At 45.4% G+C, this 26,984-nt stretch overlaps 1 protein-coding gene across 7 annotated transcripts in view, besides 3 other annotated features; it reads left to right on the plus strand.

Moving 5' to 3' along the window:
* ZDHHC14 (zDHHC palmitoyltransferase 14) overlaps nt 1–26,984 on the plus strand; it is a 296,968-nt gene that overhangs the window by 120,746 nt on the left and 149,238 nt on the right. For 3 of the 7 annotated variants that reach the window (XM_017011308.2, XM_017011309.2, XM_017011310.2), the window contains exon 1: nt 8,737–9,282. The exons of 3 other annotated variants lie outside the window; for them this stretch is intronic. In XM_017011308.2, the coding sequence (XP_016866797.1) occupies nt 8,984–9,282 (299 nt within the window). In that variant the 5' untranslated portion in view covers nt 8,737–8,983. Of the gene's footprint in view, nt 1–8,736; nt 9,283–21,939; nt 24,187–26,984 lie in introns of those variants that run through there. One more of the 7 variants, XM_047419368.1, reaches the window with a different exon arrangement.
* Nucleotides 3,868–4,068: a silencer, noted in NCBI's record as "peak6259 fragment used in MPRA reporter construct". NCBI's record gives its function as "represses an SCP1 promoter by STARR-seq MPRAs in K562 erythroleukemia cells {active_cell/tissue: K562}" and the evidence as "EXISTENCE:reporter gene assay evidence [ECO:0000049][PMID:32103011]".
* Nucleotides 15,398–15,921: an enhancer, noted in NCBI's record as "H3K4me1 hESC enhancer chr6:157938365-157938888 (GRCh37/hg19 assembly coordinates)". NCBI's record gives its function as "activates a minimal SCP1, AML or CMV promoter by ChIP-STARR-seq in primed H9 embryonic stem cells {active_cell/tissue: H9 hESC(primed)}" and the evidence as "EXISTENCE:reporter gene assay evidence [ECO:0000049][PMID:30033119]".
* Nucleotides 15,922–16,443: an enhancer, noted in NCBI's record as "H3K4me1 hESC enhancer chr6:157938889-157939410 (GRCh37/hg19 assembly coordinates)". NCBI's record gives its function as "activates a minimal SCP1, AML or CMV promoter by ChIP-STARR-seq in primed H9 embryonic stem cells {active_cell/tissue: H9 hESC(primed)}" and the evidence as "EXISTENCE:reporter gene assay evidence [ECO:0000049][PMID:30033119]".

The raw sequence follows: 26,984 nt of genomic DNA on the forward strand, positions 1-26,984 counted from the left end.
TCTAAGGCCAAGACTCAGCCTTTGACCACACATGGCCACCGTGGAGGTCAGTCTTCATGCACTCCCCCAATGGCATTAACACCACAGATATGTACGGAGCACTTATGATGTATTCTCATAATCCACCCAACAGTCTTGAAGTGTTCTTCTTGCTGCAATTGAGAAGTTAATTGAATCTCAGAGACAGTAGATGTCTTTCTCAGGGCCCACAGGAGTAACCAGCAGGACCAGTGGTCACATCTGGTGGAAAGGAGGCTGCAAAGTACAGGACAGCATAACACCTTCCTTTAAGATATGCACAGCCTAGAAGGGAAGACCAAGAAAGTCATTATAGAAACGGCAAGAAGACCATTGCATGTAAGCAAGGACACCGTGACTGTATGTGAGCCAAAAGTGTCCCCATACATGTTGAGAGAGAGTGGATGACAGAGCAGTCAGGCAGTAGCTGTGGGAGCAGTAGTCAGGAGATTTCTTCACATTTAATTAGCAGCAACTATTCTGAATGATCCTGTTCAAGGGTTTTCAAAACCTGCCTTGGAAAGAAAGTCCATGCTCAGCAACCCCAAATTTCTGAGTCTTGTCCCTGCTACCTGATCCCCATCTCACACCACTCACCTCCTCCTGCCTGGAGATGATGAGGGATCTCAGGCTTATCTATACATGTCCACCTGTTGCTACTGCCCAGCTGCCCACATGTGCTAGTAATGCTACTCATGGCTCATAGTTTTTGTTGTGTTTGTTTTTGTTTTGTTTTGTTTTGTTTGTTTGTTTTTTAGACAGGGTCTTGCTCTGTCACCCAGGCTGGAGTGCAGTGGCATGATCTTGGCTCACTGCAACCTCCGCCTCCCAGGTTCAAGCGATTCTCCTGGCTCAGCCTCTCAAGTAGCTGGGATTACAGGTGCCCATCACCATGCCCAGCTAATTTTTGTATTTTTAATAGAGATGGGGTTTTACCATGTTGCCCAGGCTGGTCTCGAACTCCTGTCCTCAAGTGATCAACTTGCCTTGGCTTCCCAAAGTATTGGAATTACAGGCATGAGCCACCGCACCCGGCTGTGTTTGTTTTTAAACTACACAACTTGTATCAGGATGCTCTTGGTTGAAGTAGCAGAAAGCCAGGTTCAAATTGCCTAAAGCAGCAAAGCAACATATTGATTTGCCTAAATTGGCACCCAGAGATAGCAGGCTCCATGTTGGTCTGTGTGACAGTTGAGCAGTGTGATCGGGGACTCTGGTGGTTCTCATCTGTCTGCTCAGCCCTCCACACCGGCCACCTTCCTCTCTGATTGCTTCTCCTCGTGGGCCCAGGATGGCTGCCAGAAGCAGGTGGGTCCATGTGCTTCCTCTTTCACATCCAGTGTCAGACACATCCTGGCTTCCCACTGCTGCTTGTGAGAGGAAGGAAGGATTTTTCAAGATGCTTCTACTAGTCCTGTCTTTTTCTGTCTTTAGACAGATTTGGCTTACATCTCCGCTCCTGAACTTTCAAGAGATGTGGGATTCCCTTAGACTATCCATGCCCTCATTTTGAGCTGAGCTCCAATCTCCAAGCCACAGGCTGCTGTTTAATGGGGGTGGAGTTGAGTGATTGCAGCATCAGCCACAATGCTCATTACACAAAGACAAGTAGTCACTCAGAGTCACCTACTGTCTCCTGATGTGTCTTGATTTTCATCCTCCTATTGAATTTTGGATTAATGAATAGTGTGATACACAGTATGACGAAATGAATTGCCTAAAATTATTAGGCGCCAGGTGGTAGACAATCTAAAAACATGAAAACATGCTCAGCCTCATTAGTAATCAGGAAAATGTAAATTAGGATCACAGTGACATGCTTTTTACTCCCACAAAGTTGGCAAAAATTAAGAAGTCTGACATTACCAAGCGTTGGCAATGATGCGTATGAGGAAACAGCACGGCTCATATAAGGCTCGTGGGAGTGTAATTTGGTGCCACCACTTTGGATAAAAAATTGGTATTATCTTATAAAGCAGAATGCACATCTACCCTCTGACTCAACAATTCCATTTGTAAGTATATATACTAGAAACATATTTGCAATTTCTTGAGGAGATATGTTTGAGATTGTTCATGATGATAACTGTTCACAATAGCAAAAAACTGGAAACAATATAAATGTTCAAGAAAAAGGGAACAAATAAATGCACCATGGGAGATTCATACAGTGGAGTATTATCCAGCAGTGGAAACCAGAGAAACTGCAGCTACATGCAGCAACATGGGCATATATATATTTTTTTTTTGTTTGCTTGTTTGTTTGTTTTTTGAGATGGAGTCTCGCTGTGCCGCCCAGGCTGGAGTGCAGTGGCGCGATCTCAGCTCACTGCAAGCTCCGCCTCCCGGGTTCACGCCCGGCTAATTTTTTGTATTTTTTTTTTTTTTAGTAGAGACGGGGTTTTACCGTGGTCTCGATCTCCTGACCTCGTGATCTGCCTGCCTCGGCTTCCCAAAGTGCTGGGATTACAGGCGTGAGCCACCGCACCCAGCCTATTTTTTTTTTTTTTTTTTTTTAGACAGAGTCTCACTCTTGTCACCCAGGCTGGAGTGCAATGGTGCAATCTCAGCTCACTGCAGCCTCCGGCTCCTGGGTTCAAGCACCCACCACCACACCTGGCTAATTTTTGTATTTTTAGTAGAGATGGGGTTTCACCACGTTGGCCAAGCTGGTCTTGAACTCCTGACCTCAGGTGATCTGCCCACCTCGGCCTCCCAAAGTGTTGGGGTTACAGGCGTGAGCCACCGCGCCCGGCCTGCATGGGCATATCTTAAAAACTTATCGTCAGCAAAAAAAATTGCTAAAGACTACATGCAGTAAAATACCATGTGTTTTGTTTTGTTTTGTTTTGTTTTGTTTTGTTTTGTTTTGTTTGAGATTGAGTCTCACTCTGTTGACCAGGCTGGAATGTAATGGTGCAGTCTCGGCTCACCACAACCTTTGCCTCCTGGGTTCAAGCGATTCTGCTGCCTCAGCCTCTGGAGTAGCTGGGATTACAGGTGAGCGCCACCACACCCGGCTAATTTTGTATTTTTAGTAGAGATGGGGTTTCACCCTGTTGGCCATGCTGGTCTTGAACACCTGACCTCAAGTGATCCACCCGCCTGGGCCTCCCAAAGTGTTGGGATTACAGGCATGAGCCACCATGTCTGGCCAATAACATGTTTATAAAACTCAAAAGCAAGCATATTCAAGCAATAAATTGTTCAGAGGCATTTGTGCATGGTAAAACTATGTTTAAAAGCAAGGACAGTTTCCTAGGGAGGGAGTCGTCTGGAAGGTAAGATCCAACGGTATTGGTAATGGGATCTAATCTTTAGTTGGGTGGTAGGATTGGAAGTATTGTTTTATTTGGGGGCTTCATGACTTTCTGTCTATTCATATAAAATATTACATAATAATCTTTAAAGTCTTTGCTAAGTTTACCATCATTTGCGTAGTTCAGGGAGAGGACCTAGAATATAACTAAGGCAACAGGAAAATAATGTTCGAAGGGGATTAGAGAAGTCCACATCATCTCAATGACAAAGAACTCACTGAGTTCTTAAGAAAATGTGACTGAGTGCAGTAGAGTGGCAAAGTAAGAGGAAGCCATGCCTGCTGAATGAATTAACAATTTATGAGGGAACAAATCATCATGTGGTTGGGGGAACCAGTGGCTGTAATCTATTTAGGCCAAAGTATATGATTAAAGGCTGTACCATGAGTTATTAAAACCCTGACGTCCTTGTGACTTGGCGAAATGTTTGTTCATGGATAGGGAGGCAGGGATCAGAAGTTAAAAAAAAAATTTGTTTAAACGAAGAATTAAATTGAGTCTTCATCTTTGTGTAGAAGTATAAGAGTTTTGTTTCTGTAGTCATCAGAGTTGATATTTGCCAGTAGCACATTTTCAGTGAATGATTTGGAAGGGCAAGAAAATCCCTTGGTCAGATGTAACTGAGTGCACCCAAGTGCTGAAACACTGAACAAATGCAGCTCGGTCAATGAGATCAGGGCCTGTTTGGCTCAGAAATACAGCAGATGAGCTCTAGTGTAGATAGCACCTGTGCTTGGTAACTTGCACCTCTCATTAAAGTCTTCTCTAGGCACTGATCATCCGTGGGAAAACACTGTAGCTTGGGTGGTTAAAGGCTTTTCCCACACTTAGTCTGGAATGGAATCTCTTCATGGTTAAATAGTAAGTTCTATTTCTGGTGTCATTTGTGTGACTCAGCACAATCTCATTATCCCTCTTTAGAAACATCCATGTCTCATTCACAACCTAAAACCCAGACTGAGTCCAGGGTTGAAGTCTCTGTCCAGCCAGCGGTTACTACATTACACAATTGTTATTTTTGTCAACCTATCTCAGTTTCCTCATTAGGGAAATGAAAGGGTTAAACTGGACTATTTCTGAGGTCTCTTTCAGATGCAATATTCTGACTCTGGGAATCCATTTGCAAAGAGCTGGATGTTGGAGAGAGCCCTCTGCAAGGTCAGCATGAGGCTAACATTAGCTGCCTTCTTGCTCACACTGTTATTTGTGCATGAGATGATGTGGACTTCTCTAATCCCCTTCAAACATTATTTTCCTGTTGCCTTAGTTATATTCTAGGTCCTCTCCCTGAACTATGCAAACAATGGTAAACTTAGCAATGACAAGCTAGAATCTTCCAGAGTTTATTTATTAATTTGCTTCTGCTGTTGTATATTAGGTATACAACTTAGGTGATGTGTGAAAAAGCCCATTAACTTTAGTGAGCCTTCATATGCTGACGACAGATATATTTTATATTGGTCCCTGGGGGAATGTTAATGTGAGCTATTGTCTATATCTAAAGGAAAACAACCACTCAGGATATTAGCTAGTGGATACAACTGTGCTTGCATAAAGTATCCTAAACATCCATGTCCTTCAACTCAGAGTGAATGTGGCCATTGATAAGTGGCACCTAGGAAAGTAGAGTCATTTTTTTTTTAATTTTGGTTTTTAATTAAAGTAACATATAGTTTAAAAGGCCAAATTGTGCTAAAAGACTTATAACCAAAACCAGCCATCTCCTGTGACCCTGCCCCCTACTCTCAGTTTCAACTGTTTTTGGTATTCTAAGTAATATGTATGTACTTCTCTCTTGGTTCATTCATGTTAGACATTATCTGTGTACTTTTTATTTTCTTATGCTTTCCCTTCCTCTTTCTCCCTAATCCCTTCAGAATAGCTATATCATAAATTTTTATTAAATCCATATCCAGATTTTTAAATTATTTTGCACATGTAAATATTGTTCACACCTATGCCAGGTTGTACTATGAATATTTCCTTATATAACATTTTATATTTCCTGACTCATTTTTTTTTTTTTTTGAGACAGAGTCTCACTCTGTCACCCAGGCTGGAGTGCAGTGGTGTGATCTTGGCTCACTACAACCTCCGCCTTCCAGGTTCAAGCAATTCTCATGTCTCAGCCTCCTGGGTAGCTGGGATTACAGGCACGCCACCACACCTGGCTAATTTTTGTATTTTTAGTTGAGAAGGAGTTTTGCCATGTTGGCTACACTGGTCTCCAACTCCTGACCTCAAGTGATCTGCCCACCTTGGCCTCCGAAAGTGCTGGAATTTCAGACGTGAGCCACTGTGCCCAGCCTCCTGACTTGTTTTTGTATTTGGACTTTTCCACATCTTCCAACAGCTCTGTAAAAATATGTCCATCCAATTGCACCCATTCTTGCTATTTTAGCTCTATCTGAGCCTCCTTCCACTTCAGTTGGACTGGCCTGGGGCACTGCTGTCGCTCCAGAGTCTCCCGTCATGATCATCCTGAGGGTTTTCCTTGCCCCTCTTCTGGATGGGCATCCTCCTTGGCAAGGAACATCCTTCCTGTTCCTGCATTCCAGATCTTCAGCTTCATCATTTTCCTCCCTGCTTTTGGTGGAAAACACCCTGTGACATCTTAAGGAAGCAATACCTTTTTGAGATTTTAAATATCTGAAAATATGTTTATTTCAATCTTACACTTGATTGATTGTCAAGTTGGGTATACAAATATGAATGGAAAATCATCCTCAATCAGAATTTTGAAGCAATGATTCCATTGTCTTCTAGCTTCCACATTTTCTATTCAGAAGTCCAGGGCCATATACTAAATATTTGAACCTGACCTTGTCCCCACCATTCCTTTACCTCTTTCAAAGCTTTTAGATGTTGTTCTTTACAGCTGGTGTTTTGGAGGTTTTGTTTTCTCAAATGATGATCAATCATTGTGTTGGGCATCAATACCAGGGTGGTGGTGAGTCCTGTTGATGTAGAAATGTGGGTTTTTCATTTCTAGGAGATGTCCTTCAATAATTTTCCTCCCCATTATTATTTTTTGTCTGTTCTCTCTATCTGAAACTTCTTTTGTATCTGTAACTCTTTCATTTGGATATTGATGTGTTGTATTTTTTTCTTGAGACAGGGTCTTACTCTGTTGCCCAGGTTGGAGTGCAGTGGTGCAATCATGGCTTGTTGCTGCCTCAACCTCCAGGCTCAAGCAATCCTCCCACCTCAGCCTTCTGTGTACTTGGGACTACAGCCATGTGCCACCATGTCTGAGTAATTTTTTTATTTTATATTTTTTGTAGAGACAAGGTCTCACTATGTTGCCCAGGCTGGTCTTGAACTCCTGGGCTCAAGCAATCAGATGCTCCTACCTCAGCCTCCCAAAGTGCTGGGATTAAAGGTGTGAGCCACTGCACCCAACCAATGTCTTGTATTGATCCTTTAATTTTCTTAGCTTTTGTATTATCCATCTCTTGATCTTTTTGTTGCACTTTCTGGAAAATTTATTTAACTTTATCTTCTAATGTTTCAATGAATTTTTAAATTCACCTGCAATATCTTTCAGTACCAAAAACTCCTTCTTGTTCTCTAACTGTTCTTTTTTAGTGTCCTGTTCTTGCTTTATTTTTCTGATGATATAAGTTATAGTTTCTTTGAAAAATAAAAAGAGAGAGCCCACTTCCAGGCTTATTGAGGTTTTAAGTAAATTTCAGTTCCACGTGGTTGGAGGACACAAGTTCCCGTTTCTTCCCGGCTGTTGGCCAGGGGTTAACCTCAGCTTCCAGAGGCCCCCTGCATTCCTTGGCTCGTGGCTCCTTTCACTCCAGCAGCAGTGGGGAGAGTCTTCCCCACCTTAGAATCTCTGCCTCTCTCCTCCTGCCTCATCTCTCCAACACACTTCTTCCAACACCCCTCTACGCCCTTTGTCTTCTGTCTCTAAGCACTGATGTGAGTACCCTGGGCCCACCTGGATGATCCAGGATGATGTCCCCATCTTACCATCAGCTGAATAGTGACCTTAGGAGCATCTGCAGAGCCCCTTCCACAGCAGCATCCAGATGAGGAGTCTCAGGGAGACCTCTTCAGAATCCTGCCTGCCACATGTATACACACATATTGAGTCTTAACCACTTTGTGAGATACAGCTTAACAAATATGTACACACATAGTGAACCTAACTTTTTTAATGGGGACAACTTTATTGTCCCCATTTAAAAAATATGAAAACTGAGGCATAGAGAAGTGAAATGACTTTCCAAGGTCAGTTAGTAGGCGGCAGAGCTGGATTCACACCTGGCAGTGTGTCTCCAGATACTCCCTCTCTGTTACTCGCCAAGATGCCCTGCAAGCCAAATGCCATCTCAAACACTGATGACAGGTGTATTCATATTTTGAAATTAATAAAACTGTGAGAGATAGAGTTGAATGTGAAAGGTGCAAAACTGCCCATTTAAGGCCTTCAAGTTTTCTGGATATAGAGTGCTTTCCTTTTCATTCATAGGATTGGTTCATAATCTTTAAAAAAATATAATGTTTGCAGACTGGGTACAGAGAATTGAAAAGGAAGGCATGCTAGTTACTTGGCATGTAGCAGGACTTCGAATTGACAGGTGGAGAATCTGAGGCCAGAGCCTCATTGCCATGTCTCTTCCTGCAGCCTCCACTCTGCTCTCACTTCCCTCTCCTCTGTTAAATTCCCTACTTCATGGCCGGGTGCGGTGGCTCACGCCTGTAATCCCAGCACTTTGGGAGGCTAAGGCGGGTGGATCACCCAAAGTCAGGAGTTTGAGACCAGCCTGGCAAACATGGTGAAACCCCATCTCTACTAAAAATACAAACATTAGTGGGGCATGATGGCCAGGCCTGTAATCGCAGCTACTCAGGAGGCTGAGGCAGGAGAATCACTTGAACCCGGAGGCTGGAAGTTGCAGTGGGCCCAGATCGCGCCACTGCACTCCAGCCTGGGTGACAGAGCGAGACTCTGTCTCAAAAAATAAGTAAAATAAATAAATAAATAAAATTCCCTACTTCAGCTGCACACTTGCCACTGCTTCCACCCCATTTTCACTCCTCCTCACAACTAAATCCCTGAAAAGAATGTTCCAGATGCTCATTCATCCTCTCACTGACCCCTGCCACACAGGCCCCTCTGCAGGCAGCCTTCCATGCTCACTGCTCCATGAAGCCGTCCTGGTGTGGTCTTGGGTGAACTTGTCCACCCCAGGACACCCACTAGGCCATGTCTTACCAAGTCCCTCAGTGCTGGACAGGTGGGCCACTGCCCTCTTCTGGAACTTTCTTTTCTCAACTTCTTTGCTGCTGCTCTTCCAGGGCCTCCCCCTACCTTCTGACCTCTCTTTCTCAGTCGCCTCTGCTGATTTTTCTTTCTCCACCTGCCTCCTTATTTGCAATCCGCATAAGGAGAAGCAAATGCAGAGCTCTGGTGGGCAGAGAGGAAGCGCGGATGAGCGAGGTGGGAGGGGCCCGGGGTCCACGTGGAGCACGCCCCTTCCCAGCAAGGGGGGCGTTCATTGCGCAGAGCTCCACCAGGCAGGCGCCCAGGGATGGCCACCAGTCCCCGAGTTTCCAATGGCCTCTGCCTTCCTCAGACACCTCCCTCGCTTCAGCGGTTTCAGTAACCATACCGGGGCTGCTTCCTGCCCATGTTTTTGCCCATGCTTTTTACAGCATTTAAAAATGTATATGTTTGTTTCATCATAATTTACCTTTGTGGCTTAGAAATCAAATCATGGAAAGCAACTGTCTCCAACTCCACCCTCGCCGACCGCAGCCTCCGCCTCAGAGCCAGATCCTCTTCCTCTTCCTTAGTAGGCATCTTCTCCGACTCGGCTTCTAAGTCCGGCTCTTTTTGTGTGGGTTCCAGGGCCCTGCCGTGGGGGCAAAGAGGATGGAGTTGCTTACCCACCATTTCCTCTTGGCTGGCGGGCTGCTTATTGCGAAGGTGAGACAGAACTGTGGGGCGGGAAGCAGGAGAGGAATCGCCCGCACCTGGAATTTCTCTTTTAGTTTATTTGCTTCCTGGTTCCATTTTCTGTAAACTACAGCCAATCATTCTGTTCAGAGTGGAGCGTGGAGTGGGGTAAGTGGTGGTGAGAGTGCATGAGGAAACTTTTTTTTTTTTTGAGACGGAGTCTTGCTTTGTTGCCCAGGCTGGAGTGCAATGGTGCCATCTCGGCTCACTACAACCTCCGCCTCCCGGGTTCAAGCGATTCTCCTGCCTCAGCCTCCCGAGTAGCTGGGATTACAGGCATGCGCCACGAAGCCCGGGTACTTTTTTTTTTTTTTTTTTGTATTTTTAGTAGAGACGGGGTTTCTCCGTGTTGGTCAGGCTGGTCTCGAACTCTCAACCTCAGGTGATCCACCCACCTCGGCCTACCAAAGTGCTGGGTTTACAGGCTTGAGCCACCGCGCCCGGCCCACATTTTTATATAATAGTACATTTACTTGCAAATATTGGAAATGTTCAGCCTATTTAATTTCCACGTTTGCCTAATGCATGTGCTCTATCTCTGGATTTACAGTTATCGTCCATTATGAGCTGGGAATTTCTAGAGGACCTCTGTGTGTGTGTTAGTGTAGCACTTAGCACAATGTCATAAATAAATAGGCTTTTAATCATGCTGATGATATTGATCACACTCACGATGTCTGGGAGAGAAGGTGTTGGCTGTGCTGCTCAGTGGTCTTGATTTCTTAGAACTGGAGCATGAACAACATGCTCGAAATGCGAAGTAATGAACTGGAACGGTGAAGAAGGTCATAAAGAGCCTACCTGGAGGAGGATAGTGACGGCACTGTCACAAATGCTTTATATGTATTATTTAATTCTTGCAGTTCCCTCCTGCGGTAGGTCCAATTATTATCCTCATGTTCGAGTGAAGGAAACTCAAGCAGGGTGAGGTTAGGTTAATAACTTGCTAAAGTCACATGGCAAGTAAGTGTGGAGCCGGGATTTGAACCCAGTCATCCTGGCTCGGGGTCCATGGCCCTGGCTGGCCCTGGATGCCGCTGGGGGGCCCTCTGTAGGGCTGACTTGCCCTCCTCAGAAGCCCCTTCCTTAGCTTACGGCCACATAGCCCTCTGGTAGTCCTCATCACCAGCTCTGCTCTTAATTTGGCCATTTTCCGCCTTAGGATTGGAGTGAATCATCCTTCAAAGACAGAGCCACGTTCTGCACTGTGTTAAGCATAGTCCGTGGCTCACAGTTCATGCGTGAGCCACACACACATGCACACTTTGTTGGGAAGAAGAGCAACAATAAATTGCTTATTTAGAAATGGGCGAGGCCAGGTGCAGTGGCTCACATCTGCAGTCCCAGCACTAAGGAAGGCAGATGTGGGAGGATAGCTTGAGCCCAGGAGTTCAAGACCTGCCTGGGCAACATAGCAAGTCCCAGTTCTCCACAAAAAAGAAAGAAAGAAAGAAAAAAAGACAGGGAGAGAAATGGGTAAACTTGTCAAAACAGATAAAAATATATCCGTCTTCCAGTATGTATATTTTCTAATCTGTACACTCATCAGAATGTAGGGTTAGACTACATAATATACTCTGAAAATGTTCCTGTCATTATTTGAGAAATTATTTATTTTATAGATTCCAGCTGCATATGTTTCCTAACCTCAGGAAAAGCATGTTTCTGCCTTTATATACAATTAGTATTTCACTATCAGTGACAACAGTTCAAAAGAACCCAGACATGAAACAAAATCACCAATATTTGGGAACGCTGAAAAAGGCATGTGTATCACTCTCATATCAGTGTTCCAGAATAAACAATACGGGACTTTGTTAAATAATGCATCCACTTCTGCATAAACGTCTGGCAAATGCTGTTATTTCTAAGGAGATTCTTTAGCCCAGGACACCAGGGGAGATGGCTCAGCTTGTTCGTGACGTCTCGCTGTTGAGCAGATTGCTCTTAATAGCTTACTGTTCTCTGTAAGATGAAAACAAAATTGACTGTTCAGCACCATTCTCCTCCTCTTAGTGTCATTAGCTTTCTTAAAAGCACACTAAACTCTCAAGAGTTGCCACTTATATGGCTGTAGGAAAGATGTTTCACAGCTGTGAGTGTGGTGGTGGCGTCCACACCTGTCAGGACAGGCAGGGCCCAGGGTCGGAGCTGATAGTAAGTCAGTTTCATTCTAAACATTCATTTCTGAACATTTCACACCATTCCCTAAGCTGTTAGTGCTTTGTTACTTTTTACCTGATTGCACCCCGAGCTCCATCTGGGACTCTGTCAACATTGACATAAGCCTTGGAAAACACAGACTCATGGCTGTTTTTGCTGTTCGGTATTTAGGATTTACACTACACCAGGCACATCACTAAATACCATATGTACATTTACTTCATCCAGTCCGCATTATTATTGTTATGTGATTGTACTATTTATATATTATATTCTGTTATTATGTGTTGATTATGATATGATTGTCACCGCTTTTATTTTTTAATAAAAAGGTTCAGAGAGGTTAGGTAAGTTTGCCTGAGTCACACAGCTAGTGATGAGGTCAGAGATCAGAAGCCAGGCCTTCCGGACTCTGAAGATGAGGCTCCTTACCCAGCCATCATGAAACCTGAAAGGAACTTAGAAATCAGCTGTTTCCAGTCCCTCATTTTATGGATGAGCAAACCTTGGCTCAGCGAACAGTGAATTGCTCAGGGTCCCCTTGTCAGTGGCCTTCAGACCCTGGTCCCAGGCTCTTCCCACTGTGACACGCCATCCACATCCTTTCTCTCGGAGGCTGGCTGGTCCCTCCTGCCAGTCTTCCTGAATGAGTTTGCTTCACCAGATTTGGCTCTGTCTCTAGAAACAAAATGAGTTGAGTTTCATTAGCAAGCATGAAAAATGTAGGTTCAGAGATTAAAAGAAAAACAGTTGGGATATACCATATTGAAGGCACGTGGGTATAAATGGGTTCCAGGGCTCTCAATTTTTTGGGGGGACAAGGCAGAGTTACGTGTAAACAACCGACAAGCCAGCTCACGGCCATGCGGCCCACACTGTACCGTCACTCCCCTCTCAGGATCCATCTACTCTTCAGGAACATTGAATTTTCTTTCTTTCTATGCCCATGGTCACTTTCACCTGTGCTCACACACAGTCGGCTGTGCAAAGAGCAAAACTTGGATGTCCCCAGGTGGCTGCCAGGGTTGGGATGGAAGGTTCTGCTCTAGAAGCCAATAAAACAAAAATATCTGCCTATTAGATTGCAGTGATTAAATACTCTGATATCGCCAAGAAGTTGGATTGGAAGAAGTCCCTGGAATCCCCAATCTAGTACTTCAGTTTCTATGTTTATTGCTAGGCAGTGAATATTGAGTTTCATGGCAAATGTCATATAACTGTAACAGGCCCCTGAGGCAAGAGATGGACCCCTTATTCCGGTTGTTGTTTGAGCCCTGCAGCCTCTTGACTGCTGGAAAGCTTCACTGGCCTTGACCTTGGAAGGCTGACCCAGCCTCTCTTCCCCGCTGGGCGGTGGGGAGTGGGTGATGTCCAAGCCACCGATGGTATAGGCACAAAAACCAAGCCAACAAGGAACCCATTCCAGGAGTATGGGGGTGCTTGGGGCCTGGGTCTCAGGGGAGATCTGCTTTGGTGGAGTCTCCAAAGTATAACATCTGGTTCTCGACTTGGCAGGTCCGGAGACTCAGTGTTATCGCAGCTCTTTCAGAAGTGTTTGCATCGGGGCCTTACAGGTGCCTGAGATATCAAAAGGATGCTATGTATTTAGTGAGAACATTTTGTAAAGGCCAGAATATTCCTTTCCAGTTTTCCAGCATGTCCTGGGCTGGGGAAGTTGAATCTGTGGCTAGAAGGTTGCTTGGTGAGTGGGGCCTGAGCACTCACGGGGAGAGAGATGACCCTGAATGACACCTCATGCCAGCCACGGCGAGTACTAATGAGTCATCCCACAGTTGAGCATATCGCTGGTGACCAGAAGGTTCCTGCCTTCCTGTTACAGCATCTCTGCCAGACAGTGAGGAATGAACACTGCAAAATTTTCCCTCTCCGAATCTTTTCCATGGTCTTTCCAGCAGAGCACAGTGTAACTGATTGCATTCCAGCTCACGTGATTCTAGTCGCATCTTAGGCCTTCTTTTCTGGGCTGATGCGAAATCACACACAACGAACTGGGCGCACCCTTCATTTCTCTTTCTTTTTCTTTTTCTTTTTTTTTTTTTTTTTTTTTGGAGACGGAGTCTTGCTCTGTCGCCCAGGCTGGAATGCAGTGGCGCGCTATCTCCGCTCACTGCAAGCTCCGCCTCCCGAGTTCACGCCATTCTCCTGCCTCAGCTTCCGGAGTAGCTGGGATTACAGGCTCCCGCCACCACGCCCGGCTAATTTTTTCGTGTTTTTTAGTAGAGACGGGGTTTCACCGTGTTAGCCTGGATGGTCTCGATCTCCTGACCTCGTGATCCGCCCACCTCGGCCTCCCAAAGTGCTGGGATTACAGACGTGAGCCACCGCGCCCGGCCCACCCTTCATTTCTTTAGCCACAGATTCTCACACCATCTCTTGCACTCACCCCCACAGCTGTCTCTTAACACCAACTAACTGCATCTAGATAGTTTTTTAAGTAAACATTTGTATAGATGTGTAGTATTCATTCAGGAAAATGTACAAATTGTGAAGGTACAGCTCGATACATTTTTCCAAAGTTATCAGACTAACGTAGCAAGCAGGCAAGGCGTGAAATAGAACACTACCAGGACCCAAGTCCCCTGTGTGCCCTCCTTTCAGCCACCACTACCTCCAGAGTAACCGCTACCCTGCCCTCTAGCATCCTAGGTTTCATTTTGCCTGCTTATAAACTCGATAGTAAAATTCACACTATATTCTCTTTGCTCAACATATTTGCAAGCTATGTCTATGTTGTTTCATGCAGCAAATAGTATGTTTATTTCATTGCTGTATCATCCTCCATGATATTAATATGTAACTTATTACTACATTCTAACGTTGATACTTGAGTTGTTTCAGTTTGAGGCTTGTGTAATAGCGATGCTGTGAACATCCGTATATAGCATTGTGATAAATCAACCGTGTTTTTAATTTATCTAACTTTACTCTCCTAAGGTAATTTTATCTCAGAATTCTGGGAGTACCTTATTGTCATTCCCGTGAACAGGTTGCGGGTCCCTGAGTGCCTGGCCCGTGCTCTGTGTGTCTGCCATGATGTCATTTGTGGACCTGGCCAGTCTTTCCCTGTCAGAGTGTAAATCTATGAAAGTGTCTCCTGCACGTAGTTGAGTGAATTATTCGTTGAATGAATGTCTTCATGAGGGACTGGAGCCTGAAATATTGGGTTGAAATGGAAAACAAAAGTTAGAGTTGCTTATTTCTGTTTCACCATTGCAGTATCCCAAGATGCTACAGTAATTGTGCAAGGAAGCACAAATCCAAGGAGAAAGAAGGTCAAGTCTGCGCTGCAATAAAGCAAGAGACTTGAAGGGCTAGGAAATGGCAACCTTCTGTGGGCCTTCCTGCAGGGTGTCAGTCACCGGACATACTGCAACGCATTAAGTTAATAAGTGCCAAAAACCACACCAGGTGCAACTGTCATCTTCCAGATGAAACCTGTTCCCATGGTATCTGTCTCCTCTGTATCACATAGACACCAAAACATGGTGGTGCCTTGGGAGGGCACAGATTTTTTTATTGTTTTCATTTCAGAAAGCTCTAGCAACATGGCAAGAGGGAGGGTGGAAGTCCCCAGTGCTGAGTTCTGAGTGGAGCATAAAGGGGCTGTTTTTATACCGTGGTTGTACCCGGGAAGCAGACATCTCCGAGCACTTTCAGTGCCACGGAAGGGAAGTTGAGGCCAAGCGAGGGCCTCATTCCTCTCCTTGGAATCTTTGTTGCGTTGAATACCTTCACTGACTCCCCCTCCTCAGGAATTTGTGAGGACCAACAGTTCTCCTAAAGCAGGGGACTATTTTCCTAGTGGGAGTGGCTGCTTCCCAGGGATGGGAGTGGTGGGTGTGATGGGGACACAGTACCCCCACTAAAAGACTTCTGCTCTATAGTATCTCTTTTTTTTTTTGAGACAGAGTTTCGCTCTGTCAGCCAGGCTGGAGTGCAGTGGCGCAGTCTCAACTATAACCTCCGCCTCCCGGGTTCAAGCGATTCTCCTGCCTCAGCCTCCCGAGTAGCTGGGATTACAGGTGCTGCTATCACACCTGGCTTAATTTTGTATTTTTAGTAGAGATGGGGTTTTAATCATCTTGGCCAGGTTGATCTCGAACTCCTGACCTCAAGTGATCCATTCGCCTTGGCCTCCCAAAGTGCTGGGATTACAGGCTTGAGCCACCGCGCCTGGCCTTAAAGTATCTCTTAAGCCGTACTGTGTATCTTGAAAATTTCTGTCAGGTACATCCCAAACCGGCGACTCCTGACCCTGAACTAAGCCAGCAGCCAGGTTCAGTCCTGAGTAAAGTGTTGGCGAGCAGTCCCTGCCCTGCCTCGCCCTCACGGCCGCCTACCATCTGGGCGCTGCCTGCATTTCAGGGACAGTGCTGGCATTTGTTTTTCCTTTTGTATCTTTCAACTAGATAGTGTTGTCACCTACAGAGGAGGGTTTTTAAAAGTGTCGCTGTTGCCCTAGGCATTGCCTGTGATCTGTATCAAAGCCCCACGTGTGAACCACAGCTTGAGCTGGGAACTGAGAAAGGGTCAGTTGTAAAAGTCATCCTAGGATGCACGTCCCCAGCCCCCGTGCATGGATGTGGACACGCAGGCTGGAGGAGGGTGGGGGGCTGGCCACCCTGTTGGCATCTTAGCACCCAGCAGGCTAAAGCTTGCAGCTTTGTTTATTTTCCTGAAGTTCAAAGTTCCCATCCCTCCGTGGAAGGCCTAATAGAACAAAGACCACCCACCTGCAGTTGCTTTTCTTTCTTTTTTGTGCTTCAACTCTAAAGAATCATGCACTATGAAGGAAGTGGCTCCTGCTAGATCTTCCTCAAGCCACACTGATGGACCTGCCATTAGGTACACTGAGGATGCCAGCAGGTGGTCCCTGTTGGGCAGTAGCTCACAGGCATGGACTGAGGTCTCAGAAGGACTATGTGTGGTCATTGAGCTCTCCAGGGGCAATAGGGAAGGGGTGGGGGGAGGGTGGAAGGGGGGCTCTTTACAAACAATCTGAGGTGATGTGTGGTTGCCAGAGTCAGTGTGTGGTGGAATAAAGGCCTGACAAGCTAATATGAGGAGCAAGTTAAAATCTGTAGAAGACCAGGGAGTGAATCACCATCCCAGTTGTTAGTGTACTGGCCTCTGTCTGTAGGTGACACCCAACCGCCCCGGTGCACCAGCGGATGGGGCTCAGCTCGCCTGTCCCCGCCTTTCCCACCCTCCCTCCCAACTCACCCTAGTTGTGAAACGGTGCCCAATTTTTCCAGTTGTTTCACGTGAGCCTGTGTTCGTTATTTAGAATCCATGTCAATGTTTCCCTCCTGGAACCTTGGATTTAAGCCAGAGAGCGCTTCCATCTGTGGCTTCCCCGCCACCGTGGACTGGCTTTGATGGTTATTTCTCCAGCGCATTCCCAGCGCATTCTTGTGAGGGGTGTAGTCTTCACAGTCACATGTGGCTTGAGATCCTCTCTTCGTGTGGGGCACACAAACGCTACAAGCCATACGGCGGCCAGCCAAGAAAAGGGAGCTGTTCATGGTGAGGACTGGGGCAGGAGAGGCAGCTGACAGTTGCCCCTGTTACCTGTATCCTTACGCCTCTGCCATTTTCCCTGTTGTCAACACAGCGTTATGAGGGCTGGCTCATGGCTCACTGGCTCAGCTGAGCAACAGGAGTTTTAGTGATCTCAGAAACATAGATGGAGGGAGTTGTTCAGGTTTTTCCTGATGTACGAAGAATCCAACTGCAAAGCAGCAGCTAAATTTAAGTTTTGTTTTTTACGTATTTTCCAAATCCTGGTATGAAAACTATGATAGTGTCTCTACTTCAAACTGGAAGCAGAGAGATAAGTGAAGCTTGATATTTATTTTTTTATTTTTATTTTTATTTTTTGCTATGAAGCAGTTGCCAGGAATAATGTCTGTTTTTAACACATATTGATAGAAGTAGGGCATTGCCTGGAAAAAAAAAAAAGAGAGGCTTTCCTCACTGGAGGCCTTCGCTTAGGCTGCTCGTTAACTGTGGTGAGCAGCTTGTATTTACTTGCCCAGAGAGATGAGCTCATGGGAGAAGTAAGGGCCTAAATGAGATACTTTTTCTAAAAGGTGCCGTCTTGGTTGTTCATAGAAACATTAATTGCCTTTCCATGGATTCTGGGAGCAACTTAGACGGATCCACTGAAGGTTCAGAATGTCAACATTCTGGATCACCAGCAGGCAGAGCCTTGGAGCCGGGGTCTTAGCCCGGCCCCTCAAGAGCTGTGTGGTCCAGAGCAAAAGTGACTTCCCCTCTCAGCTCTTCCTCTGCAAAACGAAAGGATTCATCGTTTTTTTGTTGTTTGTTTGTTTTCATTAAACACGCATCTCTTGAGCATCTGACAGGAGCCCGTGGCTTTGCTAGGTACTGAGGATAAAATGCTAACAGACCCGTCCCTACCCCAAGGAAGTCAAAGGGTCCTGATTGGAAAGAACTGGGAACCCCAGCAGTTGCAGTGCAGGGCGAAGTGAAGTGAATGCCCAGAATGCCCTGCTGGCAATAAGCTGACATTTGCGAGCCTGGGAATGTCACTCAGGACAGACTTCTTGAAGTAGGTGGCCCTTCAACTGAGCTGAAGGGAAGAGAAGGGCATTGCAGGCTGAGGGATGATCCCAGGGTGCCCCCCAGATCTAAAGTGTGGAGTCTGTCATCGAGGTGCGTAGCCTCTCCAGAGGTGTCACTGTGTTCCATCCTAGCCGTGTCCTGATCTGGGGCCGTGGCTCTTGGGATAGTCTCTTCCCCAACCTGACTGCAGGGGAGGAGCCTCCAGGAAGATTTAGCTGTCATTCCCCCTCTGCTCTTGCCCACAATGTGCTTTTGGCTCTTCCTGCTTCTGGGTCTGTCTTCTCCAGCTGTCCTGGCTTCTAAGTTTCATTGGATCATGTTTAAATACAGATTACCTGGTAGTCACAGTTTATGCCAGAAATGGTTTCCTGACTATCTCATATTATTTAAAATTCACATAATTTGAGACTGGTGTTTCCAAAACGTAAGTTTATAGGAAGGGAAATATGGTTTTCAAAGGCATACATCTACAGCCACTGAACAATATGTTTGCATGGTTTGAGCCAAGTCCTAAAAAATGCATAATAACGTGTACACAGTAGTAGTGTTTAATACCATCTAACTGGCTTTCTAGAATTTTTAAATTTCTAATATGCTTTCCAGCACTAGCCCTAGCACCTGCTTCTTAATGAATGTATAAATACCATTTCTATAGAATGTCTTTTAGAAGATTTTAAGTTAAAATAGCAGTAAGTATTGAGATAACAACCCAGTAGTCACCAAAGTCACATGTGTTCTGAGACATGAAACAAAAGTGTTGGGCATAGAATGCTGATAAAGAATGGCTGGTTGTTCCTTTTACCTGGGAAACTAGCCCAGATTACTAGTAATTAGAAGGGAGTGGGGCCTCAGTTTAGCAGAGGGGACAGTTCACTTTCTGCCAACTTAGAAATTATATTGTTCTAGACCATTTTTTTAATTTAGAGGGATTTGAATTTTTGCACATAAAACGAAGCTTTTAAAAACACTTTTATATCATATGATTCCAAATGCATATAAATTCAAATCCACATAAAATGTAACTGCCCTATGTGTTTACCAAAGTGCAAGGGATTGGGGGAGGGCAGGCCAGTGGATGCGCAGATGTTTATTGAAAGCCGGCCTGGAGTACTGTCAGCCCCACTTCCTCATTTACAGATGGAGAAGCGGGGACCCTGGAGGCAGAATCAGGAGTCCACACTGGTTCGATCTTTTCTTTGTTGTGTTTTGGTTTGGAGTCAGGCATTACAGCTCCGTTTGGAGTCTGGGTCTTCCAGCACAGTGCTTATCACACAATATGGGCTCAAAAAATTCTGGAAGCAGCCTTGAGTGAGGGACTTGTGTGGTTTCTACACTGCACCTTAGCTTTAGAGCAGGACGCTTCTGTCTTCGTCTGTTCAGGCATCTATTACAACAAAATACCAGGCCGTGGGTAGCTCACATACAACAGAAACTTACTTCTCACAGTTCTGGGAGGTCCAAGATCAAGGAGCTGGCAGATTTGGTGTCTAGTGAGGACCCACTTTCTGGTTCAAAGATGGCACCTTCTAGCTGTGCCCTCACATGGTGGGAGAGGCCAGGCAGCTCTTTGGGGCCTCTTTTACAAGGGCCTGAACCCCATTCATGACATAATCACCTCCTGAAGGTTCTGCTTCCTAATGCCATCGCATTGGCGGTTAGGATGAATTTTGAGGGAGGACCACAAACATTAGGACCATAGCAGCTTCTTTGGTGTGAGGAGAGGCTATGACATGGTTTCCTGGCAAGGGGGAATTCAGCAGTGACAGGGCAGGAAGGTGCTCATTGTGAAATCTCTGGTTGGGCCATGGCTTCTAGCCACATCTCTCTCCTACTAGGAACCAAGGAGCAGCTCTGACTTCTAGATTGACTGGATCAGGCTTCCCCATCAACAGTTTAGGAATGCTTGCTTAGAAACTCGAAGGCCATCAAATAAAGGAGAAACATTTGAGACGGTCTCTTATCCAAATAAACTGAAAAATTGCTAAGTATATAACAAGTTGCATTTTTTTTTTAAAGTACAAAGCTGGTTATACAGACACCCAACATGAGCATGAGTGGTGGTGAATTTGCCCTTCTCACTTAGGACTGAGAAGACCTCAGACAAATTGCTGAATGACGTCCTTCAATGACCTCAATACCTACCCGTACAGTTGCCACGAAAATTCAATGCAACCTTTGTGTCAGGTTCCTGGACTTGTTTTGTGCAGTATATTCATTCCTCCCTTCTAGATACAAATATTATGTCAAAAGCCAAACTTAGATAAAAATGGCTTTCACAACTAAAACTGAGAAATTCTATCATCAAATAATTGGAGTTTAGACTTGATGCGTAATCTCAAAAGTAAATGCTAATGAGAAACTGGTACATCTAGGTTCACAAACAGTCCTGGATTGGACAGTGTGTCACTGGTTTTCACACCAGCTTTTTGGTGAAGTGTGGGGGAAATGGAATCTTGCCTGTGGTCCCTGTTGTTTTTTTCCCTATTTCCCACTTTTATGATCGTAGAGAAATAACTCACATAGGAAATACAGGCTCAGGAAACAGAAAGCACAGCAAACTTTTAGTGGTATGGGTTGGTCCCCAAAACTACAAGACCCATTTTTATAAATTTTTATGATATTAATAATATAAGAATTGATTTTTTATTATTTCAAAAGCCTACTCACTGTAAGAAGTTTTTTTTCTTTTCTTCCCTTTCATTTCCTTTCTCTCCTCCCTCCCTCCCTTTCTTCCTCCCTCCCTCCCTTCTTTCCTCCATCTCTCTTTCCATTCCTCCCTCCCTCCCTCCCTCCCTCCCTCCCTCCCTCCCTCCCTCCCTTCCTTCCTTCCTTTCCTCCCTTCTTCCCTTGCTCCCTCCCATCTTCCTACCATCCTTCCTTCCTTCCTTCCTTCCTTCCTTCCTTTCTTTCTTTCTTTCTTTCTTTCCTTCCTTCCTTCCTTCTTTCTTTTCTTTTCTTTTCTTTTTCTTTTCTTTTCTTTTCTTTTCTTTTTCTTTTCTTTCCCTTAAACTTTGGCTCTGAGTACTTATTTCCAGACAGACATCTAGGGCGGCTGTGTTGATCTCCAGACTCCACCAGCAAGAGGGTGAATGGGATCTCTCTCTCTCTATAGCCCTAGGGGCATTAGTCAATGTGAATCTACAAATGCTATTCTTAATTTCCTTTCTTTGATTATTAGTGAAGTTAATGGGCACTTAAATTTTTTCTTCTGTTAAGGTCCTTTCCTGCCCTTCAGGAGCCATCTGCTTTGTTCTGTTTTATGATATATTGAATACGTGATGTGTGATCCAAAAATGTCTTTCTCAGTTCATCGCCATCACCAGTATATTAATGAAAGCACTCTTCTCTTCAGCCTTCATTGCTATTGACTTTTTGTTTTCCTTTTTGTGTATCCTCTTGAGGGTTCTAATGGGACACTGGAAGGAGGGATATCAGAGGTGTCTCATCAGCTGCTTTGCAAACTCCACCACACAGACTTGCGGATTTCTTCTTTCTTTATGCCACTCAAAAGAATGTCAGACCACAGGGGCATAAAAGTTGGCATAGCCTGATTGGGGAAATAATATACTTTAAATTCATTAAAAAACAAAGATTAGCTGGGCACAGTGGCTCATATCTGTATTTCCAACACTTTGGGTGGCTGAAGTGGGAGGATCACTGGAGCCCAGGAGTTCGAGACCAGTCTGGGCAACATAGACCTCGCTTATACAAAAAAAAAAAAAAGGAAAAAAATTAGCCAGGGACAGTTGTGCGTGCCTGTAGTCCCAGCTACTCAGGAGGCTGAGGTGGGAGGATTGCTTGAGCGCAAGAAATGGGGGCTGCAGTGGGCCGTGATCTCACCACAGTACTCTGGCCTGGGTGACAGCACAAGACCCTGTCTCCAACAACAAAGACTCACTGGTAAATGTTTCTCTCTTACTATTTTGTAAAAAGTATGAAAATATTTCTTAGGAAATAAAATAGGACAAAAATTAGATGGTTGGTGGTATCTAACACAGGGTTACAGAAATGCAGCTGGAAGAGATTTAAGGGGATCTTTAGGAAATGCTAGGATGGTTTATTTGTGTTCACTTTATTGCAAATAAACAGACTTCACTTCTATTGATTGGCAATTTTTTTTTTTTTTTTGAGACGGAGTCTCACTTTGTTGCCCAGGCTGGAGTGCAATGGTGTGATCTTGGCTCACTGCAACCTCCACCTCCCAGGTTCAAGAATTCTCCTGCCTCAGTCTCTTGAGTACGGTACCTGGGACTACAAGCGTGTGCCACCACACCTGGCTAATTTTTGTATTTTTAGTAGAGATGGGGTTTCACCATGTTAGCCAGGCTGGTCTCGAACTCCTGACCTCAGGTGATCTGCCTGCCTCGGCCTCCCAAAGTGCTGGGATTATAGGCGTGAGCCACCACACCCGGCATATTTGCAATTTTTTTTAATAGATACTAGTTATTCAGCTCACCAGCTTAATTTTAAGTCTCTCTGTGGCATGTGGTTGTACATATACACGTTTTCTCTTTCCATATTAGCTTCTTACATATCTTTGTTTACATATTAAGAAGACAAATTTTCTTGGTCATTGTTTCTGTAAAACTTTCACATCACCTTGAACATAGTCATTTAGACCATGGAGCAGTGACCCAAGCTTCAGTTAATCCGTGACGGAGCCTTAACTAATAATTTAAAAGGTTTTCTTACATCTAGAAGAATACCTGTGTACCACTTGGCCAATCAGAGGAAACTGTAGGTAGAAAGAATATTCGGGATTTATTCCCTTCCCTGTGATTCTGTTCTATTCACTATCAGAAGAATATCCCATTTCATTTGATGTCTGTAGTTTTGTTTAGTTTGTGCCTGACAGAACCACCTGTGTTAGTGAGCTATTGCTGTGTAACAAATGACCCCAGAACTCAGTGGCTTTAAACAGCAAGCATTGATTATCTCACAGTTTCTTGGATGTGGCTTAGCTGTGTCCTCTGGTTTAGGGTCTCCCACAGGGCTGCAATCAAGATATGGCTGGGGCTGCCATCATCTCAAGACTGGGCCCGGGGAGGATTCTCCTCTCAGCTCACTCAGGGGCTGTTGGCCAGAAGCCACCCTCATGAGCCTTGCCATGTGAGCCTCTCCATAGGGCTGGGATTTTGTTTTTTGTTTTTTGTTTTTTTGAGACAGAGTCTCACCCTGTCACCCAGACTAGAGTGCAGTGGCATGATCATAACTCACTGCAACCTTGAACTCCCTGTTTCAAGCGATCCTCCTGCCTCAGCCCCCTGAGTAGCCAGGACTACAGGCGTGCATCACCATGGCCAGCTAATTTTTAAGGTTTTTCTTTTGTAGAAACAGGGTCTTGCCATGTTGCCCAGGCTGGTCTCAAACTCCTGGGCTCCAGTGATCCCCCTCCCTCGGCCTCCCAAACTTCTGGGATTGCAGGCATGAGCCACTGCACCTGGCCTCCATTGGGCTGTTTACAGCATGGCAGCTGGCTTCCCTCCGAGAGGGCCAATGAGAGCTCCAGAGGCAGGGAGCAAGACAGAAGTTGCAGTGTTTTTTGTAACCTAATCTTGGAAGTGACACCCCACCACCTTGACCACTTTCTAGAAGCAAGTCATTAGTCCCAGCCCCCAGGCAAGGCGAGTGTGAAAACCAGGAGGAGGGATCAATGGAAGCATCCAGCAGGCTCCCTACCGTATTGTGGAGTGACTCTTCCCTGTAGGGCCTCATATAAAATGATTCTGGGCATCAGAAGGCCTGGGAACATTGCTCCCTCCCGTCCCACTGCTGCTGGATGCCTGCGAGGGGACAGGGCTTCCTACCATTAAACCACAGGGCCAGCTACTGGCTTCCAGCTGCTTCCACCTTCCCCATCAGACTTCTTTCTTTCATGGGCTTTTCAGGAATTGCCTATCCTGTCCTCTCCGCCGGGATAAACTGATCACTCTTCTGCCTGAATTATTCTCTGAGCTTTGAAGCCAAACTTCTTCCTACTCCACTGAACTCTGAACCAAACACAGAATGCTCATAAGCTTTCACTTTAAACTTCAGGGAAACCCACTGGACTAAACCAAAACAAGAAACAGCAGGGAAGTGTGAAGGTTACCAGAAATCCAGGTGAGTACAAGACTGGCTCTCCTAGCAGGAAGGAAATACTATTTATGGACTATCTCTTGCCTACCTAGAGGCTTTGCTAAGGGTCTCCCTGATGCTAACTCATCAATTCTCAAAACAACACTACAATAAGACTATCATGACCTATAATTGACATTATTCCAATTTAACACATGATGAAATGAAGACTCAGAATAAGGGACTTTCCCAGGCTTCTGGAGTAAGTGCCCCAGTGCCCGGCGTCCACTCCCAGTGCCTGAGGCCTTCCCACAACACCACGACCCTCTTCTGGTGGCCTCTGTCCCCATCTCCCAGATTATCCTGGTATGGAAGTGAGTCAGGTTCTTGTCTTAAACGTTGGTCTACTCGGTCTTGACAAGGTAAAGTTCTGTAGACTCCAGACAAAGCTAGGGATAGGATAGTACCTCTCTTGTATCTCTTCTAGAACCTTCTTTTCACTCTCTCATTTAGCCTTGGGTTGTTTTTCTCTTTCACACACGAGTGTCTTCACATTTGGGAGTCTTGCCCACCCTCAAGCTCGTGGGTTAGGAAGGGGCTTCCCTACATGGCCCTACGTCTGTGCTAGTCTCAGGGTGGCCTCTGTGCTCCTGCCTACTTCAGCGACTGTGGGAACCCATCTTCTCTGAATGGACTGACACACGTGCGCCAGGGCTCGGCTGAGAAGGCTGAAGGGCAGTGTGGACAGCCAGATTATTCACCAACCGCTGGACCAGGGACCTGGGTAGATGTTAATTTTTATTTGCTGGCTCATAGAGAGAGGTTCTAGGGATGTGGGGAGAGGGGCCGGGGCAGTGGATGGTGGCCGGGAGCACTGAAGGACTTGGGGCAGCATCTTTAGCAGCTGGCCTCAGAGTGTGCTTCTGAATAGGTACTTGATTACGTACCTCCCCTCCTAAGAGTAGTAGTTTATAATACTGTTGGGGTCCAGGACCCCTTTGAGAATCTATGGATCCTCCCACACAATGTGAAACCATGGCCGTAGGTAAGGCCAACGTTCTCTTCTATCGCTGCAAGCTGGTGACCCTCAGCTGAGCCACCCTGCAACTGGGTGCCTGAAAGCAGATTACACCAGCCGGGGGGCCATGGCTGCATCAGTGCCCCCATCTCCTACCAGACTTGGGCACCTCCCATCGACTCCAGGAGCTCCCCAGCTCCTGTTTCTACTCTGAAGGAGAGGCTGCATTCTCAGCTCATGTGGCGAACAGGAATAGTTGATATTCCTTTGCTCAACTGACCTGTTTTCCTATTTTCCCACCCAGATTTTCCATTCAAAAATCTCTTCAAAAAAGTGCTTTGCAGAGCTTGCTCTTATAGTCAGACAATATTGAAGTCCTTTCATCTTGCACCATGCAGCCTCAGAGTCTCCACCCAGGGGAGAGTAAGAGTCAAAACCTCAACTGATGGAAACTTCTGGTAGAAAAAGCCTTCCAGAACTGCCCAGAGTAAGCACTACAGTCACGAGGTTTTGCCACAGAGCGTATAGGCTCAGCTAGAGCATTTTCAAGCTGTTTTTCTGTGGCCTTGCTTGGTGGACCTCTGCTTTTTGACCTCAAGTTTCACAAGTGCTTTAAACATGAAGCAGTGTTTTCTTGGCAGCCATGTAACGGTCTCTCAGGAAGTTGTTTCTGGAAATGGAAAGACTGTTCTCAGAACTTGACAGTTCTTTAGGGCTCCAGTTATTCTGAATGTTGAAGCCAACTGGACAATGTATGACGCAAGCCTAAGAGGGATAGGGATGTAGCTGTAGGAGGGGCTTTCTGATCCTTCTCTCTCTCCATTGTATCACTCTGCAGTTTCCCTGTTGATTCTCCAACTTTGCCATCTGCTTGGCAAAATTCAAGAAAGGTGGCACTTATTTAATTGATTGTAGCTTTCATGGCAGTCACACCTTCCAAGCCTTCCATCAGGCCAGCCAGGCATGATTTCCTTTGTTTCAGTCCCTCTTGGTGTTCTCTAATTAAATATGCTTTTTCCAGATGTTTCTCCACCGTATTCTTTAAGGTTGTTTCCACCATTTTTCCCTAGATCTAATGTCCATTATTTTGCCTTTTGCCCTTCTCTTTTTAGTAATCAGTTAATAATCGTGTTTGCCATGGGGAAGTCCTCAGGAATACTTCTGTTGTATTTCAAAATGAGCTGAACAGTTTTTTTGTTGTTGTTGTTTTTTAATCTCAGAAGTGTGTGGCTTAAAAGAAAAGTAAAGAAATGATATGAAAGTTTAACCATAGATGAATATACTTGGAAAAGCACAAGTAGATGAAGACTGGGGATGGGAGTGGGCATTAATCAATTAATTTAAAAAGCACGATAGGGTGGGCGCAGTGGCTCACACCTGTAATCCCAGCACTTTGGGAGGCTGAGGCGGGCAGATCACGAGGTCAGGAGATCGAGACCATCCTGGCTAACATGGTGAAACCCTGTCTCTACTAAAAATACAAAGAAATTAGCCAGGCGTGGTGGCAGGTGCCTGTAGTCCCAGCTACTCGGGAGGTTGAGGCAGGAGAATGGCAAAAACCCGGGAGGCGGAGCTTGTAGTGAGCCGAGGTCGCACCACTGCACTCCAGACTGGGCGACAGAGCAAGACTTCATCTCAAAAAAATAAAATAAAATAAAATAAAATAATTAAAAAGCACAATTAGATGAAGACTGGGGGTGAGAGTGGGCATTAATTAATTAATTAAAAAAGCACAATTAGATGAAGACTGGGGGTGGGAGTGGGCATTAATTAATTAATTTAAAAAGCACAATTAGATGAAGACTGGGGGTGGGAGTGGGCATTA

Source organism: Homo sapiens, chromosome 6 (assembly GCF_000001405.40).
Source record: "Homo sapiens chromosome 6, GRCh38.p14 Primary Assembly".
In the NCBI taxonomy this organism is placed as follows: Eukaryota; Metazoa; Chordata; class Mammalia; order Primates; family Hominidae; genus Homo; species Homo sapiens.